The sequence below is a fragment of the Homo sapiens genome, chromosome 12 (genome assembly GCF_000001405.40).
Source record: "Homo sapiens chromosome 12, GRCh38.p14 Primary Assembly".
NCBI classification, from domain to species: domain Eukaryota; kingdom Metazoa; phylum Chordata; class Mammalia; order Primates; family Hominidae; genus Homo; species Homo sapiens.
The window spans coordinates 117253290-117271454 of record NC_000012.12 but is presented as its reverse complement, the minus strand read 5'-3'; the positions used below and the strand labels follow the sequence as shown (position 1 = coordinate 117271454).

At 47.8% G+C, this 18165-nt stretch overlaps 1 protein-coding gene across 4 annotated transcripts in view; it reads left to right on the top strand.

Moving 5' to 3' along the window:
• The window catches only part of NOS1 (nitric oxide synthase 1), a 153485-nt gene that overhangs the window by 90172 nt on the left and 45148 nt on the right, over positions 1-18165 (top strand). For 3 of the 4 annotated variants that reach the window (NM_000620.5, NM_001204214.2, NM_001204213.2), the window contains 7 exons: positions 3311-3412; positions 5945-6139; positions 7481-7566; positions 10846-10990; positions 12325-12429; positions 13000-13058; positions 17701-17817. In NM_000620.5, the coding sequence (NP_000611.1) occupies positions 3311-3412; positions 5945-6139; positions 7481-7566; positions 10846-10990; positions 12325-12429; positions 13000-13058; positions 17701-17817 (809 nt within the window). Of the gene's footprint in view, positions 1-3310; positions 3413-5944; positions 6140-7480; positions 7567-10845; positions 10991-12324; positions 12430-12999; positions 13059-15417; positions 15520-17700; positions 17818-18165 lie in introns of all 4 variants that reach the window. The other variant, NM_001204218.2, reaches the window with a different exon arrangement.

Here is an 18165-nt window from a genome sequence, read left to right as displayed (position 1 = left end):
AATACAAAAATTAGCCAGGCATGATGGCTTGCGCCTATAATCCCAGCTACTCAGAAGGCTGAGCCAGGAGAATCGCTTGAACCAGGGAGGCAGAGGTCGCAGTGAGCCGAGATTGCGCCACTGTACTCCAGCCTGGGCAACAGAGCGAGTCTCCATCTCAAAGAAAAAAAAAAAAAAGCCACCGGTATCACTGTGGAAAACAGATGCCAGGGATCCTCAGCTTTGCCACACATCGGAGGGTATCTGGGGGGCTTCGTGATGCCTGGATCCCATTCATCGGGGTTCTGATGTCATAGGTCTGGGGTGGGCCCTGGGTATCTGCATTTTGCAAAGTTCCCCAGGAGATTCTTCTGGACAACCACTGATGCAATGCAAACTTTTTTCTTTCTTTCTTTTTGGAGGGGTGGGTAGGGGAATGGAGTCTCGCTCTGTCACCCAGGCTTGAATGCAGTGGTGCGATCTTGGCTCACTGCAACCTCCACCTCCTGGGCTTAAGCAATTCTCCTGTCTCAGCCTCCCAAGTAGCTGGGACTACAGGTACACACCACCACACCTGGCTAATTTTTTTAATTATTATTTTTAGTAGAGATGAGGTTTCACCATGTTGGCCAGGCTAGTCTCGAACTCTTGACCTCAGATGATCCACCCGCCTTGGCCTCCCAAAGTGCTGGGATTACAGGGGTGAGCCACCACGCCCAGCCTAAACAACCACCAATGTGTGCAAACTTCTAGCAGGAAGGAAAAAATGTTTCAGGCAGTTTTCTTAGATGTGGCTCAAGTTGCACTTGGGGATTTTTTTTAAGGGTTTCTTTTTTCCCTGCAATTAATTTCTATTCTTTTAACCAAATAATGCTATAGAATAACAATAGCATTGTTCTTCTATACATACTTTCCTCTGTGTGTGTATACTTTCCTCTGTCATACACTCCAGTTTTATATGTATTTATGGAAAGCAGCATCAAATTTCTTACTTCCCACAAATGTGTCGCTGATAGAGACCCCAAGCAGAAACTAATGCCTCAGCCTCAAAGAGTGAGTTAATAAGTCTGCTCTCTGATCTCTGTCTACATTTCAGTTGCAAAGAGTAGTCTCTGGGTAACTGAAATGAGCCTCTCTCCCACCCCGACCCTCCAATTCCACCTGTCATTATGTACAAACGTTGATAGCTGGGTCTAGGAGCAGTTTACCCAAACCAAAGAAATTGCTGCATTTTAGCCCCATAATGAGACCTGGGTTCCCACCAGTGACTAGTATTGACAGAGGAAGTGAAAAGCAGGGCTTTAATTAATGCACTTGCTATTGGGTCTTCCCTGCTCCTGACACCAGCTCCTGCTTCTGCCTTGGCTGTAACATGCATGTCATGAGTTCTTTTTTTGCAAGTAATTTTGCCACAGGCGTCAGCTGCTTAGAGAGCAGCTCCAAGGTCTTAGACGTTAGGCATCTCCCTGGGCTCCACCTCTGAGACTAGCTGGTTCTGTGGACGTTGGACAAGTCCAGGCACCTCTCTGAGCCTCAGTTTCCCCATGTGTCAGATGGAGTCTGGCAGGGGCCTCATGAGCTCAGAGCACCCATGGCCTAGATGCTAGGTCATGACCACTCTGGGGGTAGAGTAGGATAGATGAAGAGCTTTTCCTGCTAGAAAGCAGATGATGCACTCACAGACCTACATCTCTGTTAAAATGCTCCAGAGGCCGGGTGCAGCGGCTCACGCCTGTAATCCCAGCACTTTGGGAGGCCGAGGTGGGTGGATCACGAGGTCAAGAGATCGAGACCATCCTGGCCAACATGGTGAAACCCCATCTCTACTAAAATTACAAAACTTAGCTGGACATGATGGTGTGCACCTGTAGTCCCAGCTACTTTGGGAGGCTGAGGCAGGAGAATCACTTAAACCCAGGAAGCGGAGGTTGCAGTGAGCCGAGATCACGACACTGCACTCCAGCCTGGCGACAGAGTGAGACTCTGTCTAAAAAAAAAAAAAAAAAAAAAACAAATCTCCAGAGATCCTGCCCCCTGGGCCCGTCACATCTGGAATAACATCCTGACTCCTTGGCATGTCTTTCAAGATCTTACACCAGCTAGTCCTGTCTCACTCCCACCAATTACCCCTTATGTACCACCCTCCAAACACCCTCTGGTCTTCTTTCCATATCTAAGATAGCCCAAGCCTGATCCCACCCCAGGGCTTTGCTCTTGCTGCCCCCTCTGCCTAGAGCACTCTCTCCCCAGATCTGCGAATATCTGGCTTCTTCTCATCACTTAGGGCTCACCTTGCATGCTGTCTCCACAGTGGGCCTTCCCTGACTACCCTAGCTGAATTAGCCCAGCCCCCATATCCCTCTTCATCCCATTTCCTTATTTTCTTCCTAAGAATTAGTACCTACCACTGTATTAAGTATCTCTCTCTTCCCCATTAGAACACAAGATTAGTAATTAAAGGGCCAGCCGAGTCTCTAGTTTCCTGCTGCTGGTAGGTTCTCGATAAAAATTTTAACTTTTTAAATTTTTTAACATTTTTATTTCATACCTAGTCCAACAGATCAATAAAAAATTTTTGAGGCTGGGCGCGGTGGCTCACGCCTGTAATCCCAGCACTTTGGGAGGCCAAGGCGGGTGGATCATGAGGTCAGGAGATCGAGACCATCCTGGCTAACACGGTGAAACCCCCTCTCTACTAAAAATACAAAAAAAAAAAAAATTAGCCCGGCGTGGTGGCGGCCGCCTGTAGTCCCAGCTACTCAGGAGGCTAAGGCAGGAGAATGGCATGAACCCAAGAGGCGGAGCTTGCAGTGAGCCAAGATCGTGCCACTGCACTCCAGCCTGGGTGACAGAGCAAGACTCCGTCTCAAAAAAAAAAAAAAAAAATTGAATGAGTGAGTTCATTAGTCTGTGAATGAGTTGATTAATTAATTAAGAAATTCTTGGCCAGGCAAGGTGCCTCACGCCTGTAATCCCAGCACTTTGGGAGGCCAAGGTGGGTGGATCACTTGAGGCCAGGAGTTTGAGACCAGTCTGGCCAACATGGTGAAACCCCGTCTCTACTAAAAATACAAAAACTTAGCCAGGCATAGTGGCAGAAGCCTGTAGTCCCAGCTACTCAGGAGGCTGAGGCAGGAGAATCGCTTGAATGCAGGAGGCAGAGGTTGCAGTGAGCCAAGATCACACCACTGCACTCCAGCCTGTGCGACAGAGCGAGAGTCCATTTAAAAAAAAAGAAAAGAAATTATTTCACGCCACTAGCCCTGTCCCTCTTCAATCTGAAATCCAGAGATACCCCAGCCTGTATATCTGTGTTTCCTTCCTCTTTCAGGAAGTGGCCAAGAAGATGAACTTAGACATGAGGAAGACGTCCTCCCTGTGGAAGGACCAGGCGCTGGTGGAGATCAATATCGCGGTTCTCTATAGCTTCCAGGTAACACCAGGGCCCGCACCACCAGGGTCAAGCTTCAAATGAGAGTTCAAACCTTTCAGAGCCTTGATGCAGAGGATCAAGAGACCTCACTGCCAGAAACCACCTTTGCGGGGATTGTGTCCATGAGTATGGTCTAGCTTCCATCCTGCATGCCCTCCTCTCCAGTGTGGATCTTGGGTGGGGACCATTTGATGAAGAGATGAACAAATGGTGGCAGGGGTAGAGGAGTGTTCTGTCTTGTTGCTTAGAGTTCTTTAGAATTCAAACAAGAGGCATCCTCTCTGTCTTGTCATCTCTTAGGGCCTCAGACTATCACATAACAGAGACAAATACTCTTCAACATCATCAGAGACATATAGGCTCCTAAATAAATGCATGAGGCTGTGCTAAATGGCATTATAGCAGGATGGCTGGAAAATGTATCAACTAAGCCACAACACTTTTTTTTTTTTTTTGAGATGGAGTTTCACTCTTGTCGCCCAGACTAGAGTGCAGTGGCACAATCTCGACTCACTGCAACCTCCACCTCCCGGGTCCAAGCAATTCTCCTGCCTCAGCCTCCTGAGTAGCTGGGATTACAGATGCCCACCACCGCGCCCAGCTAATTTTTGTATTTTTAGTAGAGGTGGGGTTTCACCATGTTGGCCAGGCTGGTCTTGAACTCCTGACTTCAGGTGATTCACCTGCCTCGGCCTCCCAAAGTGCTGGGATTACAGGCGTGAATCACGCCTGGCCACCACAACACTTTTGAGAGCCAGAGGGCGACACTAGTAATAACTATGCCAGGACAATGGGCATCACTAGGATTCTCCTGGGCCAACCAGGAGATCTAGAAACTAGAAGTTGCTCTCTATAATAGGGACCATCACTGTCCTCTGGGGGCTTCCAGTCTAGGCAGCTAGACCCCCGTAGATGCACGTGAGAGGCACACACAGCCAGCAGAATGAATGTGTTAAATCAAGCCATGGATGGATAGGAATAGAAGCCATAGGTCCCCATGTCAGATGTGGATGGAGTGGGTGCACTGAGGAATGTCAAAGGGAAGGGACAAGTTGAGACAGGGCAAGAGGGAAGGAGGCCACCTCCCTTCTCCTTTAACCATGGAGAATGAGGTTTCAGGAGTGTGGCATGTGGCCTGATGGACTGGTATGAAGTCTGTCAAGCCAGAGACAACAGGGATGTAATTGAGATGAACAATGAAAACTAGCCAGGCGCCGTGGCTCACACCTGTAATCCCAGCACTTTGGGAGGTCGAGGAGGGTGGATCATTTGAGGTCAGGAGTTCAAGAGCAGCCTGGCCAACATGGTGAAGCCCATCTCTGCTAAAAATACAAAAATTAGCCGGGCAGTAGTGGCATGTGCCTGTAATCCCAGCTACTCAGGAGGCTGAGGCAGGAGAATCACTTGAGCCTGGAAGATAGAGGTTGCGGCGAGCCGAGATTGCACCACTGCACTCCAGTCTGGGCGACAGAGTGAGACCCTATCTCAAAAAAAAAAAGAAAAGAAAAAAAAAACCTAAAAGAAGTCATTATACAAAAAAGATACTTGCACACACATGTTTATAACAGCACAATTCGCAATTGCTAAAAATGTGGAACCAACCGAATTCATGGCATTCGCAGCAACCTGGATGGGAATGGAGACTATTATTCTAAGTGAAGTAACTCAGGAATGAAAAACCAAACATCGTATGTTCTCACTCATTAGTGGGAGCTAAGCTACGAGGACGCAAAGGCCTAAGAATGACACAGTGGACTTTGGGGACTCGGGGAAAGGGTGGGAAGGGGGTGAGGGATAAAAGACTACAAATTGTGTGCAGTGTATACTGCTCGGGCGATGGGTGCACCAAAATCTCACAAATCACCACTAAAGAACTTACTCATGTCACCAAGCACCACCTGTTCCCCAAAAGCCTATAAAAATTAAAAAATAGAAAAAGAAAAAGGCCGGGCACGGTGGCTCACACCTGTAATCCCAGCACTTTGGGAGGTGGAGGCGGGTGGATCACGAGGTCAGGAGATCGAGACCATCCTGGCTAACACGGTGAAACCCCGTCTCTACTAAAAAATACAAAAAAAAAAAAAATTAGCCAGGCGTGGTGGCGGGCGCCTGTAGTCCCAGCTACTCGGGAGGCTGAGGCAGGAGAATGGTGTGAACCCGGGAGGCAGAGCTTGCAGTGAGCCAAGATCGCGCCACTGCACTCCAGCCTGGGTGATAGAGCAAGACTCCGTCTCAAAAAAAAGAAAAAGAAAGAAAGAAAGAAAAAAAAGATGGGGGTGGGATGGGAGAGAGGAAGATTGGCAAGATCGACACGAAAGGTGTTAAAGACACAATAGCACCCAACGAAGACTTTCTCCTGGGTCTAAGTGGAAGGACTGGACAAGAAATGCAGAGAGAATCACCATCTCACTTCACGCTGCTCTAAACCATCTCAGGGACCACCCTTTGGGAAATGCTGCTCTTTGGGGCAGGGAGTCCCAAAATACCCCAGCTTCTCATACCTCCTGACCCCTGTCCCCTCTCCTCCCACAGAGTGACAAAGTGACCATTGTTGACCATCACTCCGCCACCGAGTCCTTCATTAAGCACATGGAGAATGAGTACCGCTGCCGGGGGGGCTGCCCTGCCGACTGGGTGTGGATCGTGCCCCCCATGTCCGGAAGCATCACCCCTGTGTTCCACCAGGAGATGCTCAACTACCGGCTCACCCCCTCCTTCGAATACCAGGTCCTTCCCTGTCCCTGCCTCTTTTCATATTAAGTGTCCTGTATCTGGTGTGTGTGTCACATTTAGGCTCATTTCAACCCAGGCTAGTGCTCTGGACACTCAATAGCCACATGTGGCTGGTGGCTACCATATTGCACAGGTCTAGCTGAAAGAACAAGAGAGACTATATGAGGCCGACATGATGGCTCATGCCTATAATCCCAGTGATTTGGGAGGTTGAGGTGGGAAGGTGGCTTGAGGCCAGGAGTTTGAGACCACCCTGGGGAATATAGTGAGACCCCATCTCTAAATTTTTTTTTTTTTTTAATTAGCAGGCTGGGCATGGTGGGTCACACCTGTGATCCCAGCACTTTGGGAGGCCAAGGCAGGTGGATCACCTGAGTCAGGAGTTCGAGACCAGCCTGGCCAACATGGCGAAACCCCATCTCTACTAAAAATACAAAAAATTAGCCTGGCGTATGCCAGCTGCTCAAGAGGCCAAGATAAGAGAATCGCTTGAACCCAGGAGGTGGAGGTTGCAGTGAGCCGATATCAAGCCACTGAACTCCAGCCTGGGCAACAAGAGTGGGACAAAAAGAAAGAGAGAAAGAGAGAGAGGGAAAGGGAGAGGGAGAGGGGGAGATGGGGAGGATGAAGAGGGGGAGAGGGAGAGAGTGTAGAGGGAAAGAGGGAGAGGGGGGAAAGGGAGAGAGAGAGGGAGAGAAGGGGAGGGAGGGAGGGAAGGAAGGAAAAGAAGGAAGGAAGGGAAGAAAGGAAGGAAGAAGGGAAGGGAGGGAGGAAGGAAGGAAGGAAAGGAAGGAAGGGAGAGAGAGAGAGAAAGAAAGAGAAAGAAAGGAAAGAAAGAAAGAAAATAAAGAAAGAAAATAAATAAGAAAATTAGCTGAGTGTGGTGGCATATACCTGTAGTCCCAGCTATTTGGGAGGCTGAGTTAGGAGGATCCCTTGAGCTAGGGAGGTCAAGGCTGCAGTGAGCTATGATCACACCACTGCACTCCTGCCTGGGCAGCAGAGTGAGACCCCTGTCTCTTAAGAGAGAGAAAGAGGGATGAAATGAGAGTGAGTAGTCAGGGGTCACAAGAACAGAGTTTGAGAGGGACTGGGGGCCAAGGGGAAAGAGCTAGCAGGACACTGCCAAGGCCAGACCACCCACTGGGCAAGGACCCCCCCCCTCCCCCCAACCCCGCATCCCTTCCCCCATGGTGGTCACCACTGGGCAGAATTCTTCCCTTCAGAGGCCGAGGGTCAGGCAGTCACAAGTCCCAGGTGGTCCTGAGCATCCCCAACAGGAACCAGATGCCCTCACTGCAGTGAGTGACCATAGCCCTCTCCTTCTCTTCCCAGCCTGATCCCTGGAACACGCATGTCTGGAAAGGCACCAACGGGACCCCCACAAAGCGGCGAGCCATTGGCTTCAAGAAGCTAGCAGAGTAAGTTTCGTGCAGTGGGCGGGTGGGGTGGATGTCCCCACAAACTCAGAGAACCCAGAGAAGGAGGCTGGGCAGACTCCTGTGCCCTCTGACCTCTCTACAGAATATGATTTCTTCATCTTCTTCAGCCACCTGGGCCTTCTTTGCCTCTGAGTCTGAGCTGTGAATGTCGTTCCAACTCTTCTCCTTCTCAGCCTCACTTTCCTCACACTGGTTTCCTAAATTCTTGTCCTGGGGGCAATGGTGTGTTGGTGAACCAGCCCTCCTAATAATAATAATAATAATAATAATAATAATAATAATAATAATAATAGTAATACCTTGATTTTCATGTTTGCCAGTTTCCATGATGTAAACATTCCCACTATGACCAATTTCTTTTCTTTCTTTCTTTCTTTTTTGAGATAGGGTCTGTTCCCCAGGCTGGAGGCGTCTCACTTTGTTGCACAGGCTAGTCTCGAACACCTGGCCTCAAGCGATCCTCCTGCCTCAGCCTCCCAAAGTGCTAGGATTACAGGTGTGAGCCACTACACCTGGCCTAGGAAGTCACTGAACCCAGACTAGGGAGGAGCTGGAGTTAGTCAGCTCCAGCACACTACTGCCTGGAGAGCACCCTCGTTCAGGGCTGACCCTTAATTTTACTCATTCATTCATTTACTCATTCATTCATTCATTAGTTGGGTGTCGCAGCACACGCCTGTAGTTCTAGCTACTCAGATTCTGTGCCAGGCACTGTGTGAGGCTTCAGGGGGATCATGGCAAGCTAGACAAATGCTGTCCCTGCTGTCATGAAGCTCACAGCCATTCCTTTGTCAAAGAATCAACAAATACAGTAAACATGGCAGCTGTGGAAGGTACCATCGAGGAATGGTTCCTGGAAATAATAATGGTTCACGGAGTTTGGGAGGTCAGGGAGGGCTTCCTGGAGGAGGTGACAATTGAGCTAAAGAATGAGATTAAGAAAGTTTAAGCAAAGAGGGGAAGGAAGGGGGTTATGGCCTGAGACTACTGAGGAGTGATTTTCCTGAAGAATGCCTGACCAGCCAGAGGACCAGCTGACAAGTAGGATGGGGTTAACTAAGTTGATTTAACGGGGATGCCAGCCTTCTGCCCCAAAAAAAAGAGAACCCCACTGATCCACTTACCAAAGACCACTGTTTGGAGCTAACTTTTTGTCAGAAGACACTACTCTGTTTCCTCAGCTCCCTCAGGTCCAGAATTCTCTATGTATGATAACTAGTTGTACAACAGGTGTCATCTAAGCCATGGGCCCCAGAGACAAGACACTGGTGGGTCTTGCAGGGACCCAAACCTAGGTCCTGGCTCCATTAATAGAGCCCATAGAATCAATCAATCTCTCTCTCTCTCTCTCTCCTCTCTCTTCTCTCTCTCTCTCTCTCCCCCTCCCCCTTTCTCTCCCTCCCTCCCTCTCCTCTCTCTGTCTCTCTCTCTCTCTCTCTCCCTCCCTCCCTCCCTCTCTCTCCTTCCACCCTAATCCCATCCCCCAGCCAAGCAAGAACACATCAGCAGCCACCATTTCCCTAACAAGAATATCTCAGATATTCTCAGGGAGGGCAATTGTTGGCTTCAGTTCAGCTCCACTGTCTCTGGGGGGAAAGGGGAGGGAGAAATCTAAAACATTAATTACACTATTAAGTTTTGGGTAGTAACAATGGGAATTAATTATAGATGCATCTTTATGCTCAAATTATTCAAAGGGAACCCTCCAGGTACCTTTTATTCCTTTCTGTTTCTTCCCCTTAGCTAAGTCTTCCTGCATCGTGGGCGGTTTCCCTGATTCTAAAAAATAATGAACTTAACGCCGATAATCCCAGGTGGGGGGAAGTTAGCGATTTGTCTGCACTGAGATTTCTAGTTACAACAGGGAGGCTTGTTAAGGAGTCGAGCCTGGGTATTTCTGAGCCTCTGGCCTGTCTGCTAGTGCCCCTGGAACTCGCCCTGCCCAGTAGAGCAGAAGGAAGAGACACTGGTTTGGGCTTCTCTGTTTAGTTAGAAAGAGGCTGGATTTGATGTTCAGACTTCCCAGGGTCTCAGTGGCAGCATCTTTTAAAATTCATAACTTCTTTTATTTCTTTTTTGTAGAGACAAAGTCTCACTCTGTTGACCAAGCTGGTTTCAAACCCTTGGCCTCAAGTGATCCTCCCGCCTCAGCCTCCCAAAGTGCCAGGATCACAGGCATGAGCCACTATGCCCATCCCATAACTTCTTTTGATAGATATTTATTTAGTGCCTGTTGGGTATCAGGCTCTGTGCAAGACCCTTGACATGCATTGCTGAATAAATCAGACCTGGTCCTTCCCTTGTGGACCAATAAACCTCTAAATCCCATCAAACTCAATGCCTGGTGACTAATTCGTGATTCATTTCTCTCTCTCTTTCTCTCATTCACACATGTGCATACACACACACATTAGAATATGAGCCCTATGACAGCTGCATTCCATAGCTATGTTCTCTGTGGTCTCCATTTCCTATAACAATACTGACACATAGTTAAGCACTTAATAAATATTTGATGAATGAAAGAGAGAGGAAATGGATGAACGATCATCTTTTGAGGCAATGCTTGGCAAACCAAGGTTCTTAAGCCTGGGATCAATCAAGTAACAAGCTAACAAAACTAACTACTCCTTTTAATTCATGACTAATTGCTCTGGTGGGATTTTTTTTTTTTTTTTTTTTTTTTTTTGAGGCAGAGTCTCACTCTGTCGCCCAGGCTGGAGTGCAGTGGTGCCCAGTGGTGCGATCTCGGCTCACTGCAACCTCCACCTCCTGGGTTCAAGCAATTCTCTTGCCTTAGCCTCCCAAGTAGCTGGGACTACAGGCGCACGCTGCCACTCCCGGCTAATTTTTTTGTATTTTAGTAGAGACGGAGTTTCACCTTGTTGCCCAGGCTGGTGGCAAATTCCTGAGCTCAGGCAATCCACCTGCCTCGGCCTCCCAAAGTGCTGGGATTATAAGCATGAGCTACCACACCCGGCCTCTGGTGGGATTTAATAAAGGATTTAATATCCAGCATTATCTCTAGAGAAGTTAAAAAATAAAATAAAATAAAGGATTTAATAATACTTTAATAATACGGTGCTTAAACACAAAGACTTCAAGTGCCTCTGAGGAAACCCCTGAAGCCATCAAAGATCAAGAGAGTTCTCTTCTGTTATATTTCATGGATCCTGGTTCTTGCACGAAAGTCCCAATCCAGCATCTTCTCTCCCCTTTTCTGTTGCCCATTTTTCATCTCCATCCTCTTCCCTCCAGAGCTGTCAAGTTCTCGGCCAAGCTGATGGGGCAGGCTATGGCCAAGAGGGTGAAAGCGACCATCCTCTATGCCACAGAGACAGGCAAATCGCAAGCTTATGCCAAGACCTTGTGTGAGATCTTCAAACACGCCTTTGATGCCAAGGTAGGTGGGGGGTAGCCCTAGCTCCACCAGCTTCTCATGGTGAATTAAGGCAGGAAGGGGAGAGAGGGAAGTCAACAGAGAAGAAGCCTTTGGCAAAGGATGAAAGCACACCTGACAGGGCCTATCAGCTCACATACACATTTGCATAAATTTCAGGGGACTGTGATATCCCTGTCCCCATGAGTCCAGGAGTCACAAAATGAAATTCCCCTCTTTAGAGCAAAATGTTAGAGGGTTTATAAGAAACCATTCTGAGGTCAGTTTGGGAAGCTTTGCCTGAAGTACAGCTCGATGGTTTTTTGGTTTTGTTTTTTTGTTTTTTTGTTTTTTGTTTTTTTTTTTTTTTGAGAAGGAGTTTCACTCTGTCACCCAGGCTGGAGTGCAGTGGCGCGATCTCGGCTCACTGCAAGCTCCACCTCCCGGGTTCACGCCATTCTTCTGCCTCAGCCTCCCGAGTAGCTGGGACTGCAGGCGCCCACCACCACGTTCGGCTAATTTTTTGTGTTTTTAGTAGAGACGGGGCTTCACTGTGTTAGCCAGGATGGTCTCGATCTCCTGACCTCTTGATTCGCCCGCCTCGGCCTCCCAAAGTGCTGGGATTACAGGCGTGAGCCACCGCACCCGGCCAGCTCGATGGTTTTCATTGCTGTGGCAGGACTTCCCAGAGCCTGTAATCTATAAGCATGTGTTCTAATCTCCAAAAGAGGCGAGGATAGAATATAGACGTTTCCCAAACATGTTTGATCGTGGATCGCTTGTTTTCATGGAGCATCTCAGGAGACTGGGATTTTCTAGAACCTATTTTGAGAAATGTTGCTCAGACGATGATGAGACACAGGGCAATCATCTTTCCAGAAGGCAGATATCTCAGACTTGTTTGGCCAGGTGCTCCACACTGCTCGGGGGAGGATTAGAGAGGAGGTTGAGAAGACTTAGTCAGCTCTAGCCAGATCATTCCCGGCCTAACTGGGGTCAGGAAGAATCCAAGACCAATTGACTATAAGAATCCCATGGGATTCCATCAAGCTGTGTTTCTAGTATCTGCCAATCCCTTGAACCATTGCTTCAGATTCTCCACAACCCTTCAGGCCACAGTGACCATAGCAAGGTCCCACGCTACCAAAAAGCGTTTAGTTCTACCCACTTGAGCCCACTGAAGTACTAACACCTCAGATCTTTTGGTTCTCCTTCCAAAGGAGATGACCCAAAATGACTCACATTTTTCCTTTCTCTCCTCTTGCCCTTCCCCCATCACTTTTTGTCTCTCCCACCTCTTTTCTCTCCTCATCCCCTTCTTCCTCTCCCCATCCTATACCTGTGCCCTGCCCACCTAGGTGATGTCCATGGAAGAATATGACATTGTGCACCTGGAACATGAAACTCTGGTCCTTGTGGTCACCAGCACCTTTGGCAATGGAGATCCCCCTGAGAATGGGGAGGTGAGATGAGCTTTTACCTGTTCAAGAGTGTGGTTCCATCATCAGGAAGAAGTAGGGGCCAAGGTTGAGACTCTTCCTACACCTGCTATTCAGTAGCAAACCCTCCCAGAGCCTGAAAGCCAGTAATTTCCATTTGGATCCAAGTTATACAAAGGTTGGACAATTCCAAGTACTCAGTCTACTGGCGTCCATTAGTTAGCAAGTCCCTGGTGAAAATATTGTCACCTAAGTGAGCTATTTGTTTGCAGTGGCTGCTCCTATCATTAGCTTGATGTTCCCTGATGTAGATGAGGAACATGGGGACAATATTTTTATAGAAGGAAGGCTCCAACGGGAAGTTGTGTGCTGGGGGTAGGGAGTCCACACCTGTAGTCATTTAAACAGCAGGTGTATCCACTGCGTCTGTAGCCCAGGCATTACTGTCCAGCCTGAGCCCCTGACCGCTCCTGACATCCTGGCCTCCGGGCATCAGTCTCCTCTTTGACAGCCAGGACCCCAGACCCTCAGTATCCGACCTGATTTCCCATTTACTAAGATGTGCTAATTTCACCCATATGTTTTGGCTTCCAGAAATTCGGCTGTGCTTTGATGGAAATGAGGCACCCCAACTCTGTGCAGGAAGAAAGGAAGTAAGTGAATGACCCCTCCGACGTCACCCGCCACCCCCGAGGGTAACTGGACATTGACTTTTGGCACCTGGGGTTCACATTTGAGTTCTGGATGGTGGCTGTAATCTGAAGTCCATTTGTAATGGGTCTTAGTTGTGAGGTGTCTGCAGTCTACTGGGGCAAATATTTTGGTATCTGGGTCACTTCACAGCCTTGTGCCTCAGTTTCCTTTTCTATCAAATAGAGATTATAGCACCTACCTTGACTTTCTAATTAGTAAGAATCAAATCACAAACTAGATGTAAAAGCACTGTGTGCTGGGCGTGGTGGCTCACGCCTGTAATCCCGGCACTTTGGGAGGCCGAGGCAGATGGATCACAAGGTCAGGAGTTCGAGACCAGCCTGGCCAACATGGTGAAACCCCATCTCTACTAATAATACAAAAATTAGGCGGGCGTGGTGGCGCATGTATGTAATCCCAGCTACTCGGGAGGCTGAGGCGGGAGAATCGCTTGAACCTGGGAGGAGGAGGTTGCAGTGAGCCAAGATCGCACCATTGCACTCCAGCCTGGGCAACAAGAGCAAAACTCCATCTCAAAAAAAAAAAAAAAAAAGCACTGTGTAAATATTATTCTTTTTCCCTCTTTGAGAACCTACATTCAAAATCAGTGCAAGGCAGTCAGGCATGGTAGTGCACACCTATAGTCTCAGCTACTCTGGAGGCTGAGCCAGAAGGATCACTTGGCCCCAGGAATTTGAGGCCAGCCTGAACAGCCAGACCTGTCAAAAAAAAAAAAAAAAAAAAAAAAAGCTAAAATCAAAGAATGGAACTTCTTTCCTTAAAAGCTTCCTGTCTGATGCTCACAGTGAAGTTGCAGCTAATCTAGAAGTTGAGTTCAAAAGATAAGATACCTTGTAAGACAAAACATACCTGTAGTCAAAAATATGTTTGTAATGGAACCGCATCTAATGTGGGATTGAGTTCTAAAGGTATTTGGTAAAGTAAAAAAGCATCTAATCAAACTTACCATTGATGGCTGGGCACGGTGGCTCATGCCTATAATCCTAGTGCTTTGGGAGGCTGAGGCAGGAGGATTGCTTGAGGCCAGGAGTTCAAACCAGCCTGGGCAATATAGCAAGATCCCATCTCTACAAAAAAATTAAAAATTAGCTGGGCATGGTAGTGTGCACCTGAAGTCCCAGCTACTCCAGAGGCTGAGGCAGGAGGATCACTTGAGCTCAGGGGCTTGAGGCTACAGTGAGCCATAATTATACCACGGCACCCCAGCCTAGACAACAGAGCAAGACCCTGTCTCTAAAAAATAAAAATAAAAAAATTTTTTTTGAGATGAAGTTTCGCTGTTATCACCAAGGCTGGAGTGCAATGGCACGATCTCAGCTCACTGCAACCTCCGCCTCCTGGGTTCAAGCGACTCTGCAGCCTCAGCCTCCCGAGTAGGTGGGATTACAGGCACACACCACCATGCCTGGCTAATTTTTGTATTTTTAGTAGAGACAGGCTTTCACCATGTTTGCCAGGCTGGTCTCGAACTCCTGACCTCAGGTGATCTGCCTGCCTCAGCCTCCCAAAGTGCTGGGATTACAGGCCTGAGCCACCGCACCATGACAAAAAAATTTTTGTTAATGACCCTTGAAAAGCCCTTGCATCCCCCATAAGGTATAGGACACATGGTGTGTGCACGCTGAGCTGCCTTTCCATGAGGCCAACTCAGTATTTGCTCCAGCATGGAGCAAGCAGATCCCTGTGTCTTAAGGTGAACATCAAATGCTCTAGCTGGCTGGTGTTTTTTGGCTGTGTTAAGCAGAAAATCCCTTCTGAGGCCAGACACAGTGGCTCATGCCTGTAATCCCAGCATTTTGGGAGGCTGAGGCGAGAGGATCACCTAAGGTCAGGAGTTCGAGACCAGCCTGGCCAACATGGTGAAACCCGTCTCTACTAAAAACATAAAAATTAGCTGGCCATGGTGGAGTGCACCTGTAATCCCAGCTACTCAGGAGGCTGAGGCAGGAGAATCACTTGAGCCTGGGAGGCAGATGTTGCGGTGAGCCGAGATTGCGCTACTGCACTCCAGGTTGGGTGACAGAGTGAGACTCCGTCTCAAAAAAAAAAAACAGAAAATCCCTTCTGATTTTCTTTGTGCAGAGAACATGCTGCCGTATTCACATAAGTTTGATACCCAGGAGACTGACCGTTGCTGAGTCCTTTGTGGTCAGCCCTCGTTCTACGCCCAACTCCAGCATCTTAGTCCTCACTCTCCTTACCTCTCTCCTTCCCACCCCATCCTAGATGGCCTCCCAGCAGGTTCCCTCTCACCCCTCCTTCAGGGAGAGATAGGGCACCATCGATTCTCCCCTCTAGGTACCCGGAACCCTTGCGTTTCTTTCCCCGTAAAGGGCCTCCCCTCCCCAATGGTGACACAGAAGTCCACGGTCTGGCTGCAGCCCGTGACAGCCAGCACAGGTAGAGTGTGCATGTGTGTACACGCAGGTGTGTGCGAGTGTATGCATGCACACCCAATGCCTGAGCATCCCAGGCCACACATCTAGGTCTCAAGGAGATCCGAGTTCTAACCTGAGCTGTGTCACTAACTCACTAAGTGACCTTGAGCAAGTCGCTTAACCCCTGTGGGCCTTGGTCTTTCTCATCTGCCGAATGGGGAGAAATTAGCTCTGCCCTACCCACTTCTGTGGCCTATTGGCAGGGTCAAAGGGTAATAACAAAAAGGAAAGCATTTGAAAAAACCTCCAACCTCATACAAATGCACGTGCTGTTATTTTTACCCACAACCATCAACCATTCCTCCCACACTAACAACACAGCCACCCCCTGATATATTGCATGACTCAATGTGAGACTATTTTAGGGCAGAAAATACACTTACATATATTTAGAACTTTCCTGATGCTGGAGCGAAAACTTTAAAGAACATCCAGCTTAGAAACCCTGCTGCTAGAATGCACAATTTCTTTTCTTCTTTTTCTCTCTTTTTTTAATTTTCTCATTTCTTTTTAATTTTTTGTAATTAGATTTGTGTGTTGGGTTTGCTTCTTGAGTTTTGGGTTTTGTTTTGGAGTTTTGGTTGCTTGTTTGTTTGGTCTCAGATTTTTTGTTTGTTTCTGTTTGCTTTGTTTTGTTTTGCCTTGCCTGAGAGCACAACTTACCATTTTTGGAGGAAAACGGAGAAATTGGATTTTTTTTAATATCAAGGTTCCTGAGCCTCTCATGCTGAGATTTGAGTCCCAAAGACATCTTCCTTCACCTTCCAAATAATTTATTTTTTTAATTTTATTATTATTATACTCTAAGTTTTAGGGTACATGTGCACAATGTGCAGGTTAGTTACATATGTATACATGTGCCATGCTGGTGTGCTGCACCCATTAACTCGTCATTTAGCATTAGGTATTAATTTAAAAAATGCAGTCTCTTTCCATGCCAGGCGTCAGTGCTGAACATTGTTCATATTTACTTGAAATGTGAAATTTGATAGAGCCCTGAAATGTCTAAGGACCATAACTTTATGGAAGGACAGTATTGAATGGGATACTCCAGCACTGTCCAGAAGAACTTTCTAGAGAGATGTAAATGTTCTATATCTGTGCTGTCCACTATAGCAGCCACTAACCAAACGTGGCTCCGGAGCCCCTGAAATGTGGCTGGTGCAAGTGACACCCTGCTATGACCCAGTGGTTCTCAAAGCTGAATGCACATCAGAATCACCTAGGGAGGTTTGCAGTGTACCAACCACATTGACTTGTATTTAACTCAAATTAATTTAACTTTAGATAGCCACACTTAGCCAATGGCTGCCATCTTGGACAGCATGGTCTAGTTTCTAGCTACTTAAAATGAAGTCTGGAGACACTGGCATCTCCTGGGAGCTCGTTAGAAATGCAGAACCCCAAGCCAGGTCCCAGAACTACTTAATCAGAATCTGCATTTTAATGAAATCCCAGGATGATTCTTGTACACATTAAAATTTGAGAAACAGCCAGGTGCAGTGGCTCACACCTGTAATCCCAGCACTTTGGGAGGCCGAGGCAGGTGGATCACCTAAGGTCAGGAGTTTGAGACCAGCCTGGCAAATGTGGTGAAACCCCGTCTCTACTAAAAATGCAAAATTAGCTGAGCATGTTGGCACATGCCTGTAATCCCAGCTACTTGGGAGGCTGAAGCAGGAGAATCACTTGAACCCAGGAGGCAGAGGTTGCAGTGAGACGAGGCCGTGCCATTGCACTCCAGCCCAGGCGACAAGAGTGAAACTCTGTCTCAAAAAAAAATTTTTTTTTTTTTTAGAAACAAGGGAGCATGGTCTCATGGTTTAGGGGAGTAGTTAGTTCTGTTCCTGACTTCTTACTGATTAAATCATTTTAACTTTATGGGTCTCAGGTTTCCTGAGTTAAGCATGGCCAGAAACCTTTTTAGTACCAGTTAAGACCAAGTGCAGATGAACAGTTACCACTGTGGTGGACAAGGGTAAGTTGGTAGATTATAGAAGAGGCCATGGGAGTGTTATGGTTTGACTCAACATACAAGAGAAGGCCCTAGAATCAGGACTGGTCACTTGAAGATCCATCAAGGGTGTTGACCTCAGGAGGGAGCTCCAGGCCAGAGCTCACAGGTTCTCTTTGGTTTTGGCAGGAGCTACAAGGTCCGATTCAACAGCGTCTCCTCCTACTCTGACTCCCAAAAATCATCAGGCGATGGGCCCGACCTCAGAGACAACTTTGAGAGTGCTGGACCCCTGGCCAATGTGAGGTGAGCAAGGGGATAAGGGGGTCGGGGGTCAGGGAAGACTAAGGCTCCTGGGGAGCTTGACCTACTTACAAAGTGAGCGCTTCGTTGTGGAGAGGTAGTGTCCATTCATTTCTCATAAAACCAGCTGCATCCTGGCTGTCTGGGACCCCTCCCACCCATTAAGTCACATTGCCTGGTCTCCCCGTGCACCATTTTTTATCCTTTCTGTGACTTCTTTTCATATACACACTCCCTCAGAGCCCCATTACCCAAGGTTCACCCCATTGTTTGTGCTGAAGGATATCAATCCCTGGATATTGCTCAATGAGCTGCCCTTCCCAATAGCTACGGTGTATACTTCATAGAAGC